We start from the raw sequence: 20,090 nt of genomic DNA on the forward strand, positions 1-20,090 counted from the left end.
AGCACCCGATAACCAAACACGGTCATGTTTCTGCTGCAAAACATGTGAGTATTCACGCCCAGTGGGGAAAAACGAGGGCTCTAAATAGTCTCAGGGCAGGGCAGTTTTTGCTGCCAAACGAGTTAAGAAAAACGTATGGTTTCCAGAACTTTTGGACTTGGGGGTTGTGGGTAGAGGGTTGGGGCCCGTGTTATCATTGTCTCGACCTGAGTGAGGCCCCTGAAATGTTGAGTAATGTGCATGGGATAATCTCAGTTTAGGTGACTAGGGAGAGAAGGCCCCTCTGTCCTCTGGAACTTTGTTCCAAGTTCCAACTTGTTCACAAGTTTCATGGAGAACTTGGAGGGGACCTGCATCTGACTGTCAGCCCCTGGGGGATGGGAGAGGAGAGAGCAGGGAAGGGATTGGCGTCAAGTTCACGTGTGCACTCCTGCGTCTTGGCTTGTCACAATGAGTGTGTGTGACTTTCTTAATTTGAGAGAGAAAGAGAAAAAAGGGCCCTCAGTGTGGCTGGTACTGGCTGAGTCTCTGGTGCCCAGGGGGAGTTTGGAGAGTTTTCTGGATTCCATCCGAGGCCTTTGGTAAGCATTGTTTCTCGATGGGTGGAACACAGACGTGCTCTTTCCCCGGTTGCTGGCAGCCAGACCTGCCCTGACCTTGAGCAGCTCCATAAATTAATCCAGCGACATGCTATCCTTCTTTGCCAAGGCTCCCTGTGTTGGGAGGGAGTCCCATTAGGCCCTGTGTTTAGACCGCATGTTTAGACGGGGCGGGGGGGCCTGCCGGAATTTTCATTCCCTCATTCAGAAGCTAAATGGATCTTTTATTAAGATCAGCAGAATCCATTTTTAACTGAATTTGAAGGTCACCCTGGGCTTGGGTTTCTCCCCTGTGAATATGTGTCCAGGACACTTGGAGAAGCCTGTACTGCGTCAGAGGATGAGCACTGGCCAGGGAGTCTGGAGACCCCGGTATGGGACCTGCTGCTTATTTGGTGATCTCAGGCCAGCCGCTTAACTTCTGCGTTTCCTGTGGGGTCAGACGAGGGGTTGGATGTGATTGATTTATCGATCAGCCATTTATTGAGCACCTCCTGCATGCCAGGCACAGAGACAACAAGACCTGGCCCCTCGGAGCTCGGAGCCTGGCGGGGAAGCCAGACACAGGGACGGGCAGTTCAGAACGGTGGACCCAGAGCCACTTGGGGATCCACGTGGGAAGGGGGATTGTGGGACCCCAGTGAGCCCCCTCCGTCCACTTGGAGAGGGGCGGGAAGGGAGTCTTCCCAATGCCTGGGAAAGGGAGAGATGAGGCTCACTAGCCACAGAGAGAAGAGCAGGCAGTTAATTTTAAAGGACTCCAGCCCTTTCTCTTCCTCGGGGAATTTCTTACATATAACTGGTTTTTTGCTTACAGCGTCTTTAACTCAATTCCTGTTCCAGCATAACACCCAGGGTGTCACTTCTAGCTTTAAAATCCCAAATCTTTTATCTCAGCCTAGGGCCTAAAACCCAAATAATTCAGGTCTTCCACTTGGTTCCAGAAGATGGGTCCTGGGGACAGTGTTTCCTGCGTCGCCGGCAGTCACAAGAGCGCTGGCCTCTCTGCAGACTAAAGTCAATCCCTCTCTATGCTAGGAAGCTTGGCAGCTCCCTCCGGGATCAAGGCCCTCCCTGGTCCTGGCGTCCCCACTCTGTGTCACCTTAGAGCAAGCAACTTCATCTGCCTGCCCCATCTCCTCGTTGGCCAAGGGACCTAGAGGGGCAGTCCCCTCCTGCACGTTGTTATAGCTGAGAATCCGAGGCCTGGAGCAGAGAGAGGGTTTGTCCGGGTAGCACCGCCAGCCCAGGGTCCCCACGGGGCTGTTGGAGCAAAAATCAGCGTGGTTCTCGTGAGGTGTGTTTTCTTTCCATCTTGGATGTGTGGTGAGCACGCAGGGCAATTCCTAGATACAGTCAGTGACAAACCAAATGCCAAGGAGTCAACAACTCCTGCCTCCTACCGAGAGCACCCCTTGGTTGGGCGAGTCCTGTTCCAGCAGAGGGTGGCCAGGACGTGCAGGTGTGGCCCTCAGCGTCCTCACACCTCAGGCTGGGAGTCAGCCTCTATGTGGGTGGCAGAAGGGAAGGAAGATCAGAAGCCCTGGCCACCACTGGGAGGGCTGGGAGCTGCAGTGAACCTGAGGACCCACAGGGTCACTGTAGCTCCCAACCATGGGGACCAGGGCTCAGAAAGACCGAAGTCATGTGTTCCTGGCTGTAAAAGGGGAGAGGAAAGGGTCCTCTCTACGGACGAGGTCAACAGGGGATGAGAGCAGCTGGCAAAGTACACTGAGACATGTCCTTGGAACGTGTTTTCTAGGCCCCAGCTGTGGGCCAGGCTTGTCCTTGGACAGGGTGGGGGTGCCTAGCTGTGGTCAACACAGACCAGAGTCCCCGGCTGCCAGGAGCTGACCTTGCGATGGGGGAGACAGGCCATAAAGCAGTGGATGAGCAGAGCCAGGGTGCATCCAGTGGTGATGTGCTGGGAGGGTCGGGATGGGGGTAGCCTGAGCTCTGCTGGCCAGAGTCTGGGGCTGGGGAGGGCTGCCGTCTTCCCTGGACAGTGCCCACTCAGCCCTGGATGCCACGGTTCTTTCTGCTGAGACTGCAATGCCCCCATTTGATTCCGCCCTACACTGCAGAGACCCCCCACCCCGACCCTTTAGCCCCTTGCTCCTTGCCAGGCCTCCTTGTTTTGAGAAAATATGAGCTAGAGTGTGGGGTTCCTTCTTTTTTATTTCGAGACAGGGTCTCACTTAGTCGCCCAGGCTGGAGTACAGTGGTGTGATCGTGACTCACTGCAGCCTCGACTTCCTGGGCTCAAGCGATCCTCCCACCTCAGCCTCTGGAGTGGCTGGGACTACAGGCATGCACCACCACACCCGGCTAATTTTTTTTTTTTTTTGGGAGACGGAGTCTCGCTCTGTTGCCCAGGCTGGAGTGCAGTGGCGTGATCTTGGTTCACCACAACCTCTGCCTCCCTGGTTCAAGTGATTCTGCTGCCTCAGCCTCCCGAGTAGCTGGGATCACAGGCATGTGCTACCATGCCCAGCTAATTTTTGTTTTGTTTTGTTTTGTTTTAGTAGAGACAGGGTTTCAGCATGTTGGCCAGGCTTGTCTCAACCTCCTGACCTCAGATGATCCGCCCGCCTCGGCTTCTCAGAGTGCTGGAATTATAGGCATGAGCCACCGTGCCCCGCCTGTATATTTTATAGAGATGGGGTTTCACTATGTTGTCCAGGCTGGCTTCAAACTCCTGGACTCAAGCAATCCTCCCGCCTCAGCCTCCCAAAGTGTGGAGATTACAGGCGAGAGCCACAGTACCTGGCTGTGGGGTTTCTTCTGTCCACTGGTGGGACTCACGGGGCCGAGTCTTCTGACCAAAAGACTTGAAGGAGGGCGATGTGTTTATTTTAAAATGTAAACACCCTCTCCAAGAATACAAACCAGAGTGTCCAGCTGCGTTTAATTTATCAGAGGCGCATCGGCTTAGCTGCGAAAAGAGACACGTTTCTTCTCCAGGAGGCCCCTCCGCTGATTTCTGGGTAATGCGTAGTTTTTTCTCCTGTGAAAAGTGCTGCGGGCCGGAACACCGAGTTTGCAGCTCTTCCCTTTTTTTTTCTCTCTGAAGTCTAAGTTTGGGAGCTCAGGATCCAAAAAGGATGACATTGGGACATTCTATTCAGAAGGTATGCTTTGCCCACTCAGCCACACAGCAGGGAACGGTTTTGAGCAGGGGTGTGATGTGGCTGGCAGACCCCCGTGTGGAGACCAAGGTGGCTTCCAGAGGCTGGTGGCTGGGAGAGCAGGGAGGGGGCTACTGCAGTGGTCCGAGCACCAGTGATGGGACAGCGTGGATGGCCACTGTGGGATGTGGAGGACGAGGGGGACACATGAAACTCCTAGGCCAGAAGACGCAGCCACCAGCCCCTGCCTGACTTTGCCCTCTTCTCTTTTTGCCATAAATAAAAATAGCTGTGGGCTGTCACCCTGCCTTCTGCCTTCGTCTCCTCTGTTATCCCACCCTCTGCGGGCTGAAGATAATTCTGCCTTTTCCTTCACCCGCTTGCTGACACCTTGTCACTCTTTCCTCCCACCTTCAAATATGCTCGGATCCCATTTTTATCACATAATACACAGGTTTGTCCTTGGGGCCCAGTTTTATATCTTTCTACCAGGGGTCTTGAGTTTCCTCGGGACAGGGACCTCATAGAACCCTTGGATGTTTTTCCTATCTCCCACGGCAGGTGGGCTCGCCAACCTCACCTTTATCTAGTAATCACAGGGAGAATAATGAATGTTTATGGAGCATTTTCCTGGGGGCTTGGGTCTCGGTGGCTGCAAGTATCCTCCATCTCCTTGAAGAAAGAAGGAAGCTTTGCTTAGAGAGGTCATGTGGTTTCCCCCACGTCACACAGCTCTTATGCAGTGGAGGCAGAGCCTGAACCCAGGGCCCTGTTCTCTAAATCCTGACCTGTCAGCTCTGGGCAGGTGTTTCCAGGTGTGGGCTGAACTCTTAACACCGGATGACGTGTTTCAAGGGGCCCTGCTGACGCAGCATTCACTGACAATGAATCACCCCAAGAGGACATTGCCCTCTTTCGCCCCACATTTAATCTTACTGCAAGGGGACAGTTCAAGGGCTAGTAGGTCACACAAACCTCAACAATTTTTGTCGTGCTAAGATGACGGGAAATGGACTATTTCAGCTATTTTTACGTGTACAGTTCGGTGGCATTAAATGCGTTCACAGTGCTGTGCAGCCACCACCACCGTCCGTCACCAGAACTTTGTCTTCTCACACTGAACTGTCCCCGGTAAACATGAACTCCACTTCCTGCAGCCCTGGCTGCTCTCTACTTTCTTCTCCGTGAGTCTGAACAGGCCAGAGACGAACTGACCCTGGTGGCAGGCTCCAAGCCTGGAGCAGGGCAGTGTCTAGAACAGAACGAAGCAGTATTGGTTTTGTTTTCGTTGTGTGGATCTGTAACCCCTTATCTGAAAACCCTTGGGACTAGAGGTGTTTCTTTTTCTGGAGACAGGGTCTTGCTCTGTTGCCCAGGCTGGAGTGCAGTGGTGCAATCATAGCTCACTGCAGCCTCAACCTCCCCGGTTTAAGTGATCCTCCCACCTTAGCCTCCTGAGTAGCTGAGGCCACAGGCAGGTGCCACCACACCCAGCTATTTTGTTTTTGTTTTAGAGACAGGGCCTCCCTGTGTTGCTCAGGCTGAGTTTGAACTCCTAGGCTCGAGTGATCCTTGCAACTCATGTTTCCCTTTGGTGTTTTTTTTTTTTTTTTGACTTCAGAAAGTGAACGTGAAGCCGGGCACGATGGCTCACTCCTGTAATCCCAGCACTTTGGGACGCCGAGGGCGGTGGATTGCTTGAGGTCAGGAGTTTGAGACCAGCCTGACCAACGTGGTGAAACGCCATCTGTACCACAAAAATTAGTTGGGCATGGTGGTAGGTGCCTGTAGTCCCAGCTACTCGGGAGGCTAAGGCAGGAGAATTGCTTGAACCCAGGAGGCAGAGGTTGCAGTGAGCTGAGATCAGGCCACTGCACTCCAGCCTGAGTGAAAGAGCAAGACTCCGTCTCAAAAAAAAAAACAACAACAAAAAAAGCCAGTGACCATGGCTGGGCCGCTGACCACTGACTCAAGCCCTGGCTGGGTCCTGGCCGTGCCCCACAGTTCCAGACTTCACTTTTCTCTACGTGTTGGAGATGTGAGACAAAGCCGCGTAGCCTTTTGTCTGTCAGCATGCAGTCTCATGGCCAAATGATTTGCCACAAACTTAGGAATTTTTGTTTTTTAGTTTTTCAGGGCCTCCTGGATTTCAGAATTGCGGACAAGGAAGCTAGGGCTTTTCAGTGCAACCCGTGGATATATTTTAGTTGCCATCTGTGGATGGTAAGAGAGAGAGATACATTTTAATGTTTAAAGAGTTTTTAAAAGTGAGTTGATGAAAAGGAAAACTTGAGGTGAGTGCAAGTCCTGGTGGGTGGTGGCGGGCCTTAGCTGAGCTGGCGGAAGGTGGTGGGGCTGGCCGGCTTAGGAAGTGCTCCCCTGTTAGGCCCCCATCAGGGCCCGGGCGGCCTGTGATGTGGAGGAACTGGCACAGGGTTGCCTGGGCAGTGAGGGCTGGGGCTGGCTGTCCCCCTCCCAGGAACCTCTCCTCCCCAGCCCCAACTGCCTTCTGGAATCCGGCAGCTTCCGAGGAAGGGCCTGAGTGTTAGGGTCTCTGGGGACTTCCCTACATCCTCATTCTTCCCCGTTTGTGCCCCACACGGCCTCCAGGGTGGGCTTGGGAAGCTCTTCCCATTGCTGGGAGTATTGGAACAAGCGGCCTGGCTTGGCTGGGAGAGAGCGGGGGTGGGGCCCACAGGACATTTTTTTGTAGAGACAGGGTCTCACTATGTTGCTGGTCTCAAACTCCTGGGCTCATGGTGGCGCTGATGGGGAGGGGGCCGGCTCTGGAGAACATGAGGCCCCCAGCCAGGCTGTGGGCTCACCCGAGGCAGAACCCCACCCCACACAGGGATGTTTTCAGTTGCCACAGTGATGGGGCTGCCAGCATTCATGGGGGACCCTTCGATCCTCAGGCCAGGCCCACAGGGTTCTGGGAGAGCCCCTTGGGAGGGGCCCTGGGGGGCCTCTGGCCGGAGCCAGGCCGATCGCACCCAGCTCCCTGTGTCTGTTCTCGCCTGGAGCCCTTCTGGGAGTCCAGATGCTGTGCTTCCAGGCCCAGCGTGGAGCCAGGCCTGGCCAAGGGGGAGCGGAGGCTGGGGATTGGGCCTTGTCCTGCGCTCGCCCTGGAGACAGGCTGTGGGCCTCCTGGCTGTGCCCCAGCTCTGTGGGAAGGTCAGAGCCAGCCCTCGTCCTCTCCCTTCGCCTCCTCCCCTTCCCTCCTCCCCCTCCCTCCCCACCTCTACCCCCCTTCTCCCCCTCCTCCTTGGCCAGAACATCTGTGTGTTCCTGGGGAATGTGGCTCTGGCCCCAGCTGGCCTCGGCGGTGGCAGGGGCCTGGATTTCTCCTGAGATGCTCACTGCTTTGGCCCTGGGTCCTCTCCTGTGGGGGTGCCTGTGCTCTGAGCTCACACCTGGCTCTGGGGCTGCTCTCCTAGGCACCCCCTTTCCATCTTTGCTCCACTGTCCTCCTCAGCATGCGTTTGCGATGGCCACCTAGATGGAGTGATGGCCACCAGCCCTGCAACAGCTTCGCAGGGCATAGCGCCAGGCTGGGCAGGTGGGGTCCTGGTGAAGCAGGCACACCTGTGTCCAGGTCCAGTCTAAAGGTGGGGCAGGTGCGGGATGCTAAGGTGGTGTGGCACCCTGGCAACAGTGGTGAGCGGGCAGAGCCAAGGCCTGAGGACAGCACGTGGGACACGGCCTGCCCCTGTGGCCCCTCAGGGAGGGGTTGGATGGAGGGAGACCCTGCTCGCTCTTTCGTGGGAAGCCAGCAGGCCCTTGGTGCAGGTTACACAGCTGTGCAGGACACGGAAGGGGAGGAAGAGTGGCAAGTGGGCCTAGAGTCACCCCACTCTACAGATAGGCAGCCAAGGCCAAGCAGTGGGATTTCCTTTGTGCAGCTGCTTTATTGAGACATGACTCACAGAGCATACAATTCACCTGTCTCAAGTGTACAGTTCACAGAGTTGTGCGGCCACCACCATAGTCAGTTTTACAAAACTTTACTTATTTGAGACAGGGTCTCACTCTGTCGCCCAGGCTGGTGTGCAGTGGTGTGATCTCAGCTCACTGTAGCCTCAGCCTCCTGGGCTCAGGCGATCCTCCCACCTCAGCCTCCTGAGTAGCTGGGACTACAGGTGTGCACCACCATGACCCGCTGATTTTTATTATTTCTTGTAGAGATGGGGTCTCACTTTTTGTATTTTTTGTAGAGACGAGGTCTCACTATGTTGCTGGTCTCAAACTCCTGGGCTCAAGCAGTCTTTCTGCCTCGCCTCGGCCTCCCAAAGTGCTGGGATTACAGGCATGAGCCGCCGTGCCTGGCCAATTTCCCAAAACTTTAACCCCTAAAGGATACCCATACCTGTTAAGCTGTCACTCCCCATTCCCCGTTCCCCTCAGTCTCCAGCGATTGTGAATCTCCTTTCCGTCTACAGATTTTTCTATTCTGGATATTTCCTGTAAATGGAATCATAACATGTGACCTTTGTGTTTAGCTTCTCTCACTTTGCAAAATGTCTTCAAGGTTCACCCCTGAACTTCATTCTTCCTATGGCCGGATAATACTCCACTGTATGGAAAATAGCATGTTTTCTTTATCCATCATCAGCCCGTGGGCTTTTGGGTTGTTTCCACCTTTTGGCTAGTGTGAGTAATGCTGCTGTGAATATGTGAGTACAAGTTTTTGTGTGGATGGATGTTTTCAATTCTCTGAGGAATTCTCAGTTCCTAGGAGCAGAAATGCTGGGTCGTGTGAGCAATTCTGTGTTTAACTTTTTGAGGACCTGCCAGGCTATTGTGTCTGAAGTTCCAGTCCTCCACCACCTCACCAGCACTTCTTGTTATTTGCCTTTCTGATTCTAGCCATCCTAGCAGGCGTGAAGTGGTGTCTCCTGGTTAAGGATTTGAACTGTGGGCTTTCTGCCCGGACAGACTGTGTCCTCTCCCCCAGGGAGAATGACAAAGGGATCTGCCCTTCTTGGGGACTCCTGTTTCCCCAGCAGCAAGCTGAGCTCACAGGGTGGGGCTCACATGTCTCTGAATTCCCTGCTATGCCAGGCCTGCCCCCCAGTCCCCCACACCCAGCCAGCCAAGGGTGCTGTGTGCTCACAGCTGTTTACAGGGTCGTCCGCCTAGGGCCTGGGACTGGGGACAGACCACAAGCTCAGAGTTCTGGAGTCCATGCAGTTGAAGCCCCTGGGCCAGGACACTCCAAAAGGGAATCCCTTAAACCCCCTAGAATGTTCCTGAAAGGTAACTTGCCCAAATCCTAAAAGCTCTCATTTGCTGGGCATGTACACGTACGTCTTGGCTCACTGGATCTCCCCGCAGCCCCTGAAGAGGTGAATGCTGTCATCGTTGTCTCCTTTAATTTTTATTTATTTATTTATTTTTTATTTTTTTGAGACAGAGTCTCGCTCTGTCACCCAGGCTGGAGTACAGTGGCATGATCTCGGCTCACTGCAACCTCCGCCTCCTGGGGGTTCAAGCTGTTCTCCTGCCTCAACCTCCCGAGTAGCTGGAATTACAGGTGCCCACCACCATGCCCAGCTAATTTTTGTATTTTTGGTAGAGACGGGGTTTCGCCATGTTGGCCAGGCTGGTCTTGAACTCCTGGCTTCCAGTGATCCGCCTGCCTTGGCCTCCCAAAGTGCTAGGATTACAGGCATGAGCCACCGCGCCCAGCCTTGTCTCTGTTTTGCTGATAAGGAAAGTGAAGTGCAGAGAGGTTAGACCACTGGCCTGAGGCGACCCAGCAGAAACAGGAGTTGAGGTCACAGCAGGCTGGGCTTTGTGTCTTCACTGCCTTACTTTTTTTTTCCTTCCCTAGTTTCCCTCAAACACACTCATCCCCCACAGCCCCTCTTTGGCTCCAGGGCTCTACACTGGGGGTAAGAGGCAGCTGTGGAGGCCCCTGCCCATCTCCCCTGCCCTGGGCAGCATGCGGTGTCCCCTCCTCAGTGTGAGTGGGTGTCCCATGGGCCTGCCTTGTGGGGAGCTCTGGGGAGCGGGACCCAGGGGCCCATCTGTGAAATCCTCGCAGACTGGGAGGACATTTGAACTGAGCCCTGGATGACCTTTCCAGGTGACACGGCTGCCTGACTCATTCATTCATCTGGTGCTTCATTCATTTAACAAGTACTTACTGAGTGCCGTCACGTGCCTGCAAGACAGAAACGTGGTGTGCAAAGCCAGACACAGCTCCTCCCTCACGGAGCTTCCAGTCTGGTGGGAGAGACAGATGTCGGTGGCCAAATCACACAAACAAATGTCAGCGTGCCACCAGGACAGGGGTTTGGAAGGAGAGAAACAGGGAACAGGGCAGGTAGGGAACTGACTTCCCTGGGGAGGCCGGGAGGCATCTGCCGGGGGTGCTGGCTGATCCCAGTTCTGAACGATAAGGGGGAGTGAACCGGGCACGGGAAGGGGGGAGGGAAGCACCCAGATGGGGGGGGCGCATGTGCAAAGGGCGCCGGGTGTGGTGGGAAGACCTGTGTTTGGCAAGGAGGCGGGCGTTGGGGGAAGCCCGGGCCGGAGACCTTCTTGGAGACCCAGGCCATGATCTGAAGGGTGGGGGCACGGTGGAAGGGTCTCAGCTGGGGATGGCCGGGCCACATCTGCCCTTTGAGAAGCCTTGTGTTCCAGCAAGGAGAACTGGAATGAAGCCAGGTTTTGAGCCTGACTGGAACCAGCAGCCAGGAGCAGAGTGAGAGTTGGTGTGAGAGGCTTTTCGGGGTGGCTGAACTGGGTCTCGATGGGGCCTGGACACCCCCTCCCCAGGAACCCCCAGGTTTTCCCAGATCCAGCTGCAAGCCAGGTGGGGCTTGGCATGCTGGAAAAGCGTCTGCCTACCTGGGCCAAGGCCGGGGGGCCCCTACAGCATGGGCTTCAGCCCCTCCCCCACCCCTTCCTCTCCTGCCCCTGCCCGTCCCCTCCCCGGCTGGGCCCCCAGCGTCCTCAGCAGGCCCCATTCATTCACAATCTCCCAGCGCCTCTTGGAGAAAGGGGGAAGCTTCTAGGCCGCCAGGATGGAGGTGCTGGCCCCCCGCCAGGATGGAGGTGCTGGCCCCCCGCCAGCCCAGCTTCCCTGCCCACCGCCCCCTCCACAAGCCCCCCCAGCCCTCCTGCCCTTTCTTTATGGCAGGCAAAGTGCTAATTCCCAGCCCAGAGGGGTGGGCCAGCGCCGGTGGCCAAGAGGAGAGAGACTGTTTACAGCCTCCGGCGGCAGTTCTTGGCTCCAGCGGTCCGGCGGGCTGGCCTCGCAGTGACATGTTTATTCTCCAGGCCCACTGCTGGCCCCGGCTCTTGGCAGGTCCGAGCGGAGGGCTCTTGGTGATGGGGACAGGCTGGCGGCTTGGGGCTCTTGGCGTCTGCACTTGCCTGCCTTCTCCCCACCTAGCATCTCCACCTTCAGGGAGGCAGAATGTGGAGCCGAATCTGGGACCCCCCCGTCCTCCCAAGGGCACTGCTCCCCAGCAGAACCCCCACTTGCTCCTCTCGGCCAGAAGCCCTGGCCTGGCCCCTCACTCAGGCTCCGCTCTGCGGGCCAGGCTCCTGGATTCCAACTGGGAAGGTCTTCAGGGCCGGCTCTGCTGTGCTGCACTGGGGGCCCCTGCCCGCCGCCAGCCATCCCCATCACTCAATCACCCAGCAGGTTCCTGCTGAGGACCTGGTCCGTGCCGGCCCCCGGGTGATGGCAGTGGACATGACAGATGCACTGGGACCTGCAGCCCAGCTGGGAGAGGCTGGCTTCCCCTGCTGGGGGTGACTGAGGGTCATTCAGAGGCCCCTGCACCCTGCCCCAGCGGCAGGAGATCTTCTCAGAGCCTGCAGCCCCTTCATGAATCCCCTGCAGGCGCTGGTGTGAGGAGCCCGGGCTGCAGAGCCAGATGAGGCTGGGTTGAATCCCGGCTCTGCCGTTGACCAGCGGGGTGAGGGCAGATGAGCCCATCACCCTCTCCAGGCCTCTGCTTTCTCGCCTGTAGAATGAGCGGAGGAGGACGTCACTTGACAGCCGACCTCTCTGGGTCGCCACTGATTCACTCACACACCCACTCCCGGTCACCACGCGCCGTGCTGGGTGCTGGGGATGTGACGAACAAACCCACAGAGGCTTTCAGGGATGGCGCATGAAGAGGAGACCGGCTCTGGAAAGGCACGATGTTGCTGGGGGGTAGCTGGGTCTTTGTCCCAGGGGCTCACTCAAGGGCCCTGCATCCAGGCCCGGGTGACCTCACAGGAGGGTGTCTGATGAGGGTCCCTGGGGACAGAGGAAGTTTGGGGGGGGTGCCAGGTGCCCAGGACCATGGGGATGTACCCCACAGTCAGTGTGTGGTTGGAGCAGCATTAGGAGGGAGTCAGGATGCCTGGTTGTCGTCCTTGTCCTTGAATGGCCTGGTGACTTTGGATGGGTCATGCTGTTTCTTCTAGCCTCAGTTTCCCTGGTGTCCAGGCCCTTGGTGTCTCAACGTTCCTGCTAGGCCTGGGTTCTTGAGCTCCGGATGGAGAGGGACCCCACCACATGCTGGGGATGCACTCCGCCACGTCGCTGGCGGAAGGAATCATCAGTGCTCCCTGAACGGTCTGCGGAGTTCTCAGCCATCGCCCGTGGCATCTCGGCTGGTGCTCCCACTCAGTACTCCCTCCTGGTGCCTGCCTGGGGCTCGAGGGGCGTCATAGCAGCCACGCCCTGGACCAGGCCCCTTCCCTGACGCTTTGCCTGACGCTGGCCTCCTGCTGCCTCAGCTCCTGACTCCTTCAGGTCCTCGTCCCCCACACCACCTGTCCCCTTTCACATGATTCCAAAGGAAACTTTGGTACCTCTAGACCAGGGACCGCAAACTCTGTGAAGGACCAGATTGTAGATACCTTAGGCTTTGCGGGCCACTTAGCCTCAGGCTCTGTGCCCCATACTCTCCCTTGTTTTTTTTTTTGAATGACTTTTTAAAAATGTAAAAGTCATTCTTAGCTTAGCCTGGGCCGCAGTTGACTGCTGCCCGCTCTAGATTAGCGGATGGGGGTGGGGGTGGGGTTCGCCGCGTGTTGGGGTTCGCCTGTGTTGGGGTTTGCCACGTGTTGGGGTTCGTCTGTGTTGGCGTTCGCCTGTGTTGGGGTTCACCATATGTTGGGGTTCACCACGTGTTGGGGTTTGCCGTGTGTTGGGGTTTGCCACGTGTCGGGGTTCGCCTGTGTTGGGGTTCGCCGCATGTTGGGGTTCGCCTGTGTTGGGGTTTGCCACTTGTTGGGGTTCGCCTGTGTTGGGGTTCGCTGCGTGTTGGGGTTCGCCTGTGTTGGGGTTTGCCACTTGTTGGGGTTCACCTGTGTTGGGGTTCGCTGTGTGTTGGGGTCTGCCGCGTGATGGGGTTCGCTGTGTGTTGGGGTTTGCCGTGTGTTTACTGAGTCCAGTGTTTCTGTTCTCTGCTCACTGTGGCCCTGGCCTGCAGAAGCTGCGCAGGAATTGGCTCCTTTAACTCTCACAACAACCCCACGAGGTAGGCACAATGCTCCCATTTTACAGATGAGGAAACTGAGGCACCGAGGATTAAGGAACTTGCCCAAAGTGTCATAGCTGGCCAGGGCAACATCCTCCGTCCTTGTTCGTGACCTCGATGTGCACCTCCTGGCTGTCAGTGCCTGGCTCCCGTGCCCCCGCCCCTGCTCTGATCATTTGGCATGCAGAGGAACCTGCCGCATTCTGTTCTTGAAGTCTTCTGCATCTCTTGTGGCCCCCAGCTGGCGTGCATCCCCCTGGACCACTGACCCCTCCCACCCTCTCCCCCATCACCATCGCTGCCCCACATTAGGGAGAAACCCATAAGCAACTCACAGTTCCAGAAACGGCTTCTGCAGCACCGGCCTCCCGCGGCCAGCCCAAGGGTCACGCAAGGCCAGGAGGTGTTCCCCGGCTGCTCAGCCCACATTCTGCAACCCTAGATCGAGGTGCATGGCCATGGTCACGACACGTGATCCCGAGGCTGGGAGGGAGAGTCTGGCAGGCCGCCTGACGTTGCCTGCTGGGCCTGCCCTGGTGATCCAGGCAGCTGAGGCTGAGGGGGCCGCTGGGAGAGGGTTAGGGGTCCCTACCCTAATCCTGCCTTTGACCTGGTCCAGAAAGTGACCAGTTGGTGACCTAAAGCTGTTGGCCACCAGAGACTGGTACTGAGCTTTCCTACCTCCAGGGGTGCTGTGATTTAGCAGGGGATTTTAACAGCTAATTCAAATGAGAGGAGACACAGCAGTAAATACATGGGGACACGGTTACAGTCTAAACTATTAGCATAATAGTCCCAACTATTAGCATACCAAAAAGATGGTCAGACTCGGTGCTGGTGAGCTGCAAAAATATGGCTCATTCATATTGCCGCTGGCAGCATAGTTCTGTGTCGTATTCGTCTTTACTGAAACCATTTGTCAGCAGGTGTCAAGGGTTTGAGAAACACTGGCTACTTTGACCCAGGAGTCCCACTTCTGGAAATTTGTCCTAAAGAAGTAACTCATAAGAAGGGAAATAATAGGTGCACAGAGTTGTTCTTTGCACTGTTATTTACCAGGTGGAAACAAAATCCAAATGTCCACAGTAAGGTGTGATTGACAAAACTGCTGTGTTCCCAGCACTTCAGGAGGCTGAGGCGGGCAGATTGCTTGAGCCCAGGAGTTAGAGACCAGCCTGGACAATATGGCTAACCCCATTTCTACAAAAAAATTAGCCGGGCATGATGCCTGTAGTCCCAGTTACTCGGGAGGCTGAGGTAGGAGGATTGCTTGAGCCAGGGAGGTCCAGGCTGCAGTAAGCTGTGATTGCACCACTGTGCTCCAGCCTGGGCAACAGAGTGAGACCTTGTCTTAAAAAAAAAACACCCCAGTGATGTCATGTTGAGTGGCCATAAGCAGATGCCAGACTGTACACGTGTCCTGATTCCAGCCTTAAAGAAATATGCCTGTGTAAGTTGAGGCTGGGAGGAATTTGGGAAGCTGCATGAGGCTGTGATTAGGTGACGGGGGTGCCACCCGCTGCCCATTGAAACATCCTTTAATGTTGTCACCGTGTCATCTTAGCACTAAATGGGAGGGAGGCATTCTTGTCACTTGAGCTTGTCATCTCTGGCAGCAGGAGAGGAGCCACCTGGACTCTTCTTCTGGCCAAGACCCAAGCAAGCTGTGTGATCTTGGAAAGGTTGCTTTGCCTCTCTGGGCCTCGGGTTCCTTCTCTGTAAGATGATCTTTGGGCCAGGAAGCTCCCAGACTCCTTTTCACAGGTGAGGACTGTGCCACTTGACCTTGCTGGGTTGCAGGTTTTGCTGATACTGGCTGTGGGGCCCTTGAGTGCTCAAGGAGCATTTATTGAGTGCCTCCTGTTTGCAGACACTGGGCTCTGTGAGCCACAGGCATGCTTACCCACACCCTCCATTAGGTTTGGATCCCGACACCACCCCTCTGGGAGTTCCTTAGGGCCTCACTTCTAGGGGGGTACCCAGCCCCCTGGCCAAGCTGCCCCTTCCCATGCCAGAAAGCATGTGGGGTGCCAGGAGAGACTGGTCTCAGCTTCAGGCTTGTGGTTTTTTTTTTTTGTTTTTTTTTTTTAAGGGAATGTCTTTCTTGCTAAGCACTTTATTATTGCTGACAAGCCACTGGCATGCAGGGCGGAGTCCCACATCTTGACTCCAGCCAAGCATCACTGCAGCCTGGGTGGAGTGTGAGAACTGCGTTCCTGTCCCACTCTGCCACTGCCGCGCTGTGTCACCTTAGACAAGTCACTGGCGGCGAGCCTCGCTTCAGTCATCCATACGGCGAGGCGGCACCTTCGCAGCTTCTCCGCAGGGCTGAGGGTCTGGAGGGGGCCCTGGCGTGCAAGCCCTTTGCAGGTGGTGACTTGTGGCGGGAACCACTTGGAGCTGTGTGGTTCCCATCTGGCCTGGAGAGACCAGGGGTGGAGTGAGATCCTGGGGATGGGAGGTGTGGGCCAGGGTGCCCCATGGAGCCTGACAGGGTACTGGGCACCCGCGAGAGAGGTATCAGTGCCTGCCCAGTGCCACTCCGCTGCTGCCTCTTGCAGCTGGAAGCTGACCCGGGCTCTTCCCCAGACTTGGATGCTGCCTCTTGGGGCAGAGCGATTTCCAGCAGGGCTCTCTTCCTGAAGTCACACACAGCTTTGAGCGCCTGGATTTCAAGGCACCAGGGGGCTGAAGGCTTCTGTGTCACCCCCGTGCTGGCATCACTTGAACCATCGCCCATCAAATGGTTTCTGACTGGGGGAGGACTCCTGTTACAGGCTGAGCCATGTCCCTCAACTTTGTGTGTTGCAGCCCTGACCCCCAGTTCCTCGGAATGTGCCTGTGTCTGTAGATAGGGTCTTCAGAAAGGTATTAATAATTGGGCTAGAAGCCGGGCGCGGTGGCTCATGCCTGGAATCCCAGCATTTTGGGAGGCCGAGACCGGCAGAACACTTGAGGTCAGGAGATCGAGACCAGCCTGGCCAACATGGTAAAACCCTGTCTCTACTAAAAATACAAAAATTAGCTGGGCATGGTGGCAGGCGCCTGTTATCCCAGCTACTTGGGAAGCTGAGGCAGGAGAATCGCTTGAACCTGGGAGGGAGAGGTTGCAGTGAGCTGAGATTGCGCCACTGCACTCCAACCTGGGTGACAGAGCAAGACTAGGTCTCAAAAAAAACAAAACAAAAAAACAAACCTGGGGTAGAATGGTTTGGGTAGAGTGAGCCCTAAGCCGATAGGACTGATGTAGTCATAAGGATAGATCAGGACACAGATATTGCATAGAGGATGACCGTGTAAGGACATGGGGAAGACAGCGTTTTCAGGCTAAGGAGAGAGGCCTCAGGAGACATCCACCCTGCCCACACATTGACCTTGGACTTCCAGCTCCCAGAACTGTGAGAAAATACTTTCCTATTGTGTAAGCCACCCAGCCTGTGGCACTTCGTTATGGCTGCCCAAGAAAACTAATATGACGCCCCACAGACGTCTGTGAGGGGTGTCCGCCCACTCGCAGGGGTGACAGCTGAAGATGGCCAGCTGTGTAGGAAGAGGGGGCGTCTGTGTTTTCTTAATGATACCTTATTGCTGAATGTCTAGAACAAACTGTAGCTGGGTGTGGTGGCTTGTGCCTGTAATCCCAGCACTTTGGGAGGCCGAGGCGGGAAGATCGCTCGAGCCCAGGAGTTTGAGACCAGCCTGGGCAACATGGCAAGACCCCGTCTCTACAAAATATTTAAAAGTTAGCCAGGCTGCCGGATGTGGTGGCTCACTCCTGTAATCCCAACACTTTGGGAGGCCAAGGTGGGCAGATCATGAGGTCAGGAGATCGAGACCATCCTGGCCAACATGGTGAAACCCCTTCTCTACTAAAATACAAAAAATTAGCCAGCCGTGGTGGCGCATGCCTGTAGTCCCAGCTATTTAGGAGGCTGAGGCAGGGGAATCTCTTGAACCCGGGAGGCAGAGGTTGCAGTGAGCCGAGATCACACTACTGCACTCCAGCCTGGCAACAGAGCAAGACTCTGTTTCAAAAAAAAAAAAAAAAGAAAAAGAAAAAGTTAGCCAGGCATGTTGGCATGCGTCTGCATTCCCAGCTACTTGGGAGGCTGAGGTGGAGGTGAGGGGGATCGCTTGAGCTCGGGAGGTGGAGACTGTAGTGAGCTATCATCGTGCCACTGCACTCCAGCTTGGGCGACAAAGTGAAACGCTGTCTCTAAAAATTAAAGAACAGCCCCTCACCCCCTACTATTATAATAACAGTGCAAAGGACCTCCCTGTGTACTTTGTCATTGCCATGCTTGCAGGGCACAATTCCAACAGTGGCATTTCCGAGCCGAAGTGTCACGTGTCCGGGCTATGGCTCCTGCACGGATTGCAACAGCCAGCCCGTGTGTGATAGTCAGCAAGGCAGGCTCTGCTGTGTGAGGAAGACACCCCCAGCCCAGAGTCTAGAGCCTGGACTCACACGCATCAGGGGTGCCCTTGCAGGGACCACATGACCTTGAACTGAGCTCAGGCTCTGAGCCGATTCTCAAAGAGTGAAGAACATTGAAGGCCCCCGCTGCCCAGCCTGTGGGAGTGGGGAGCAGAGTCCATAGGCAGCTCAGACTCACAGGCCCTGAGGACAGAGGGCCCCAGGCTGTTGGCAGCTGTGCCAGGTCAGTCACGTGGGAACAGAGGCCTCAGTCCTCCCCGCAGAGATTTTCTGTGACTGCTTCCATGAGACAGAGAAAAAGAGAGAGGGCTGTTAAGGGAGGTGGAGGCCATCCCAGGGCATCTCTTGCCAGGCTGGCACCGGCATCGTTCCACTGGGTACATAATATCCCATAATAGGGCCTGGCTGTTTGGAGTGCACAGAGACAGAAAGAAGATTGACATCGTACGAGTGTCGGGTTCCGAGACTGGCGTGCCCGCCGGCCTCTCCCTCTGTGGGCGGCCTCCGCTCACCCACGAGAGCAGCTCCGGAGGCACCACCTCGGGGAAGCCGACTATGCTGGGGTGAGGGCCCCCCCACCCAGATTCTTGTCACCCAGAACCTGTGAGTGTGACCTTGTTTGGAAATAGGGTCTTTGCCCATGCATGAAGTTAGGGTGAAGTCATACTGGATTTGGGGCCTATATCCAGGGACTGATGTCCTCACAAGAAGAAGGAGATTTAGAGACGCAGACACAGGGTGCAGGCAGAGGTCGGAGTGATGCAGCGACTGACCAAGCGATGCGCAGGATGGTGGCTGAGCCCCCAGAAGCTGGAAAAGGCAGGGAGGAGTCGGCCCCGGAGCCTTCAGAGGCAGCGCGGCCCAGCCAGCACCTTGAATCCAGACTTCTCCTAACCGAACTGCACCGAGAATGACTTTCTGAGGTTTTAAGCCACCAGATGGTGGTTCTTTGTCACAGTTGCCTTGAGACAGTAATACCCGGGCCCTTCTGAGGCCTCCCTCTCTGGCCTCTGTGGCCCCGCCCGGTCCCCTCTCACAGACCGCGTGGGGTGCAGGCGACTAGAGCCTCCTCTGCATGGCCTGGTATCCTAGGCAGGGTTGGCAGGCCTGGCAAAACATAGGTCTGCAGTGAGTGAGAGGATGCAGGGGCCCTCGTGGATGGACAGGTGGGTGGGGGTGGGGCAGGAGGAGAAGGGCAGGGCTGACTCTGAGAGCGGACCCTGTGGCCACAGGAGGGCTGGCCCCTTCCCTCCCCATGTCCATTCACCCCTCCTTGCCCGGTCTTGGCCTCTGCGGGTGGCGGGTGGGTGGAGACACAATGCCAGGCGCAAGGCCCAGCTAGAGTGCCCAGAGAAGAAAGAGCTGAGTGTCCAGAGCCTTGGGGAGTAGGCCACCGTTAACACTGACCCCTGACACAGGCTACACAGACATGGGATTGTGGCCAGAAGTTAAGTGGTTAAAGAGCTTTGACTCCGAATTCTATTCTGTGGAGTCAGATCCCTGCTCCTCAGCTCTGAAACCCTGTGATTTGGGTCATTTAACTGCTGCAAGCCTCACTTGTGTCATCTTTAAAATGGAGGTGCGAAATAATATCTGCCAACCATTATTCTAAGTGAAGTAACATAGGAATGGAAACCCCAAAACCATACGTTCTCACTTGTAGGTGGGAGCTAAGCTATGAGTCCACACGGGCAGGCGGAGTGATATCATGGACTTCAGACACTCAGAAGGGGAAGGGTTGTGGGGGGGCCAGGGATAAAAACTACACCTTAGATACAGTGTACGCTACCCAGTTGGCAGGTGCACTGAAATTTCAGAATTCACCACTGTATAACTCATTCATGCAACAAAAAACCATGTGTATCCCAAAAGCAATTGAAATAAACATTTTAAAAAATAATAATATCTGCCTTATAGAGCTGTGGTGGCAGTCCCATAGATGCCTGTTAGAGAAGTGCCTGACACGCGGCTGTTGTTTGTTCACTCAGCAAACATTCACAGAGTGCCTGCTGTGTGCCCCGCACTGTTCCAGCACTTGGGGATCAGGGAGTGAACACCACTGCTTTCAGAGCACACATTCTGGGGGGGTGTGATTATTATGGGATGTTATGGGTTAAGCTGGCTTTGGAGGGCTAGCCTAGGACTCAACTCTCCCCTTCCCCCGTCCCCACCGTAACCCCACCGGTTGCTGCTTCTGTTGCAGAACAGGATCAGGTTGTTGGCTGCCAACTGAGACATGAGGGCCCTCAGTCACCTGGAGGCCTGTCTGCAAACCCAGCTGTGAGCAGAGCCCTTGGAGGGGTGGGCCAGAGACATACTTGACACGTGTTCCCTTCAGCCCTGGGGGTCAGCCCACAGCCAACAGGAGTTGGGGAGGGGCAAGCCCCTCCTGTCCCACCCTGCCTCTGCCTGCTCCCAGGACTGAGCGAGA

At 55.8% G+C, this 20,090-nt stretch overlaps 1 protein-coding gene and 1 non-coding gene across 5 annotated transcripts in view, besides 6 other annotated features; both read left to right on the forward strand.

Annotated features, from left to right (window-relative positions):
* GSE1 (Gse1 coiled-coil protein) overlaps window positions 1-20,090 on the forward strand; it is a 506,689-nt gene that overhangs the window by 26,503 nt on the left and 460,096 nt on the right. The gene's annotated exons all lie outside the window — the stretch shown is intronic.
* Window positions 3,719-4,918: an enhancer, noted in NCBI's record as "BRD4-independent group 4 enhancer chr16:85233339-85234538 (GRCh37/hg19 assembly coordinates)". NCBI's record gives its function as "activates an origin of replication core promoter dependent on BRD2, P300/CBP, MED14 and CDK7 cofactors, and independent of BRD4, by STARR-seq in HCT116 cells {active_cell/tissue: HCT116}" and the evidence as "EXISTENCE:reporter gene assay evidence [ECO:0000049][PMID:35650434]".
* Window positions 3,803-4,302: an enhancer, noted in NCBI's record as "H3K4me1 hESC enhancer chr16:85233423-85233922 (GRCh37/hg19 assembly coordinates)". NCBI's record gives its function as "activates a minimal SCP1, AML or CMV promoter by ChIP-STARR-seq in naive H9 embryonic stem cells {active_cell/tissue: H9 hESC(naive)}" and the evidence as "EXISTENCE:reporter gene assay evidence [ECO:0000049][PMID:30033119]".
* Window positions 4,956-5,692: an enhancer, noted in NCBI's record as "H3K27ac-H3K4me1 hESC enhancer chr16:85234576-85235312 (GRCh37/hg19 assembly coordinates)". NCBI's record gives its function as "activates a minimal SCP1, AML or CMV promoter by ChIP-STARR-seq in primed H9 embryonic stem cells {active_cell/tissue: H9 hESC(primed)}" and the evidence as "EXISTENCE:reporter gene assay evidence [ECO:0000049][PMID:30033119]".
* Window positions 10,999-11,742: an enhancer, noted in NCBI's record as "H3K27ac-H3K4me1 hESC enhancer chr16:85240619-85241362 (GRCh37/hg19 assembly coordinates)". NCBI's record gives its function as "activates a minimal SCP1, AML or CMV promoter by ChIP-STARR-seq in primed H9 embryonic stem cells {active_cell/tissue: H9 hESC(primed)}" and the evidence as "EXISTENCE:reporter gene assay evidence [ECO:0000049][PMID:30033119]".
* Window positions 11,782-11,881, forward strand: MIR12128 (microRNA 12128). The gene has a single exon (NR_162142.1). It is a non-coding gene; the product is annotated as a microRNA 12128 (primary transcript).
* Window positions 13,469-13,763: a silencer, noted in NCBI's record as "tiled region #3131; K562 Repressive non-DNase unmatched - State 8:EnhW". NCBI's record gives its function as "represses a minimal TATA promoter and a strong SV40 promoter by Sharpr-MPRA in K562 cells {active_cell/tissue: K562}" and the evidence as "EXISTENCE:reporter gene assay evidence [ECO:0000049][PMID:27701403]".
* Window positions 18,663-19,163: an enhancer, noted in NCBI's record as "H3K4me1 hESC enhancer chr16:85248283-85248783 (GRCh37/hg19 assembly coordinates)". NCBI's record gives its function as "activates a minimal SCP1, AML or CMV promoter by ChIP-STARR-seq in primed H9 embryonic stem cells {active_cell/tissue: H9 hESC(primed)}" and the evidence as "EXISTENCE:reporter gene assay evidence [ECO:0000049][PMID:30033119]".

This window comes from Homo sapiens, chromosome 16 (genome assembly GCF_000001405.40).
Source record: "Homo sapiens chromosome 16, GRCh38.p14 Primary Assembly".
NCBI classification, from domain to species: Eukaryota; Metazoa; Chordata; class Mammalia; order Primates; family Hominidae; genus Homo; species Homo sapiens.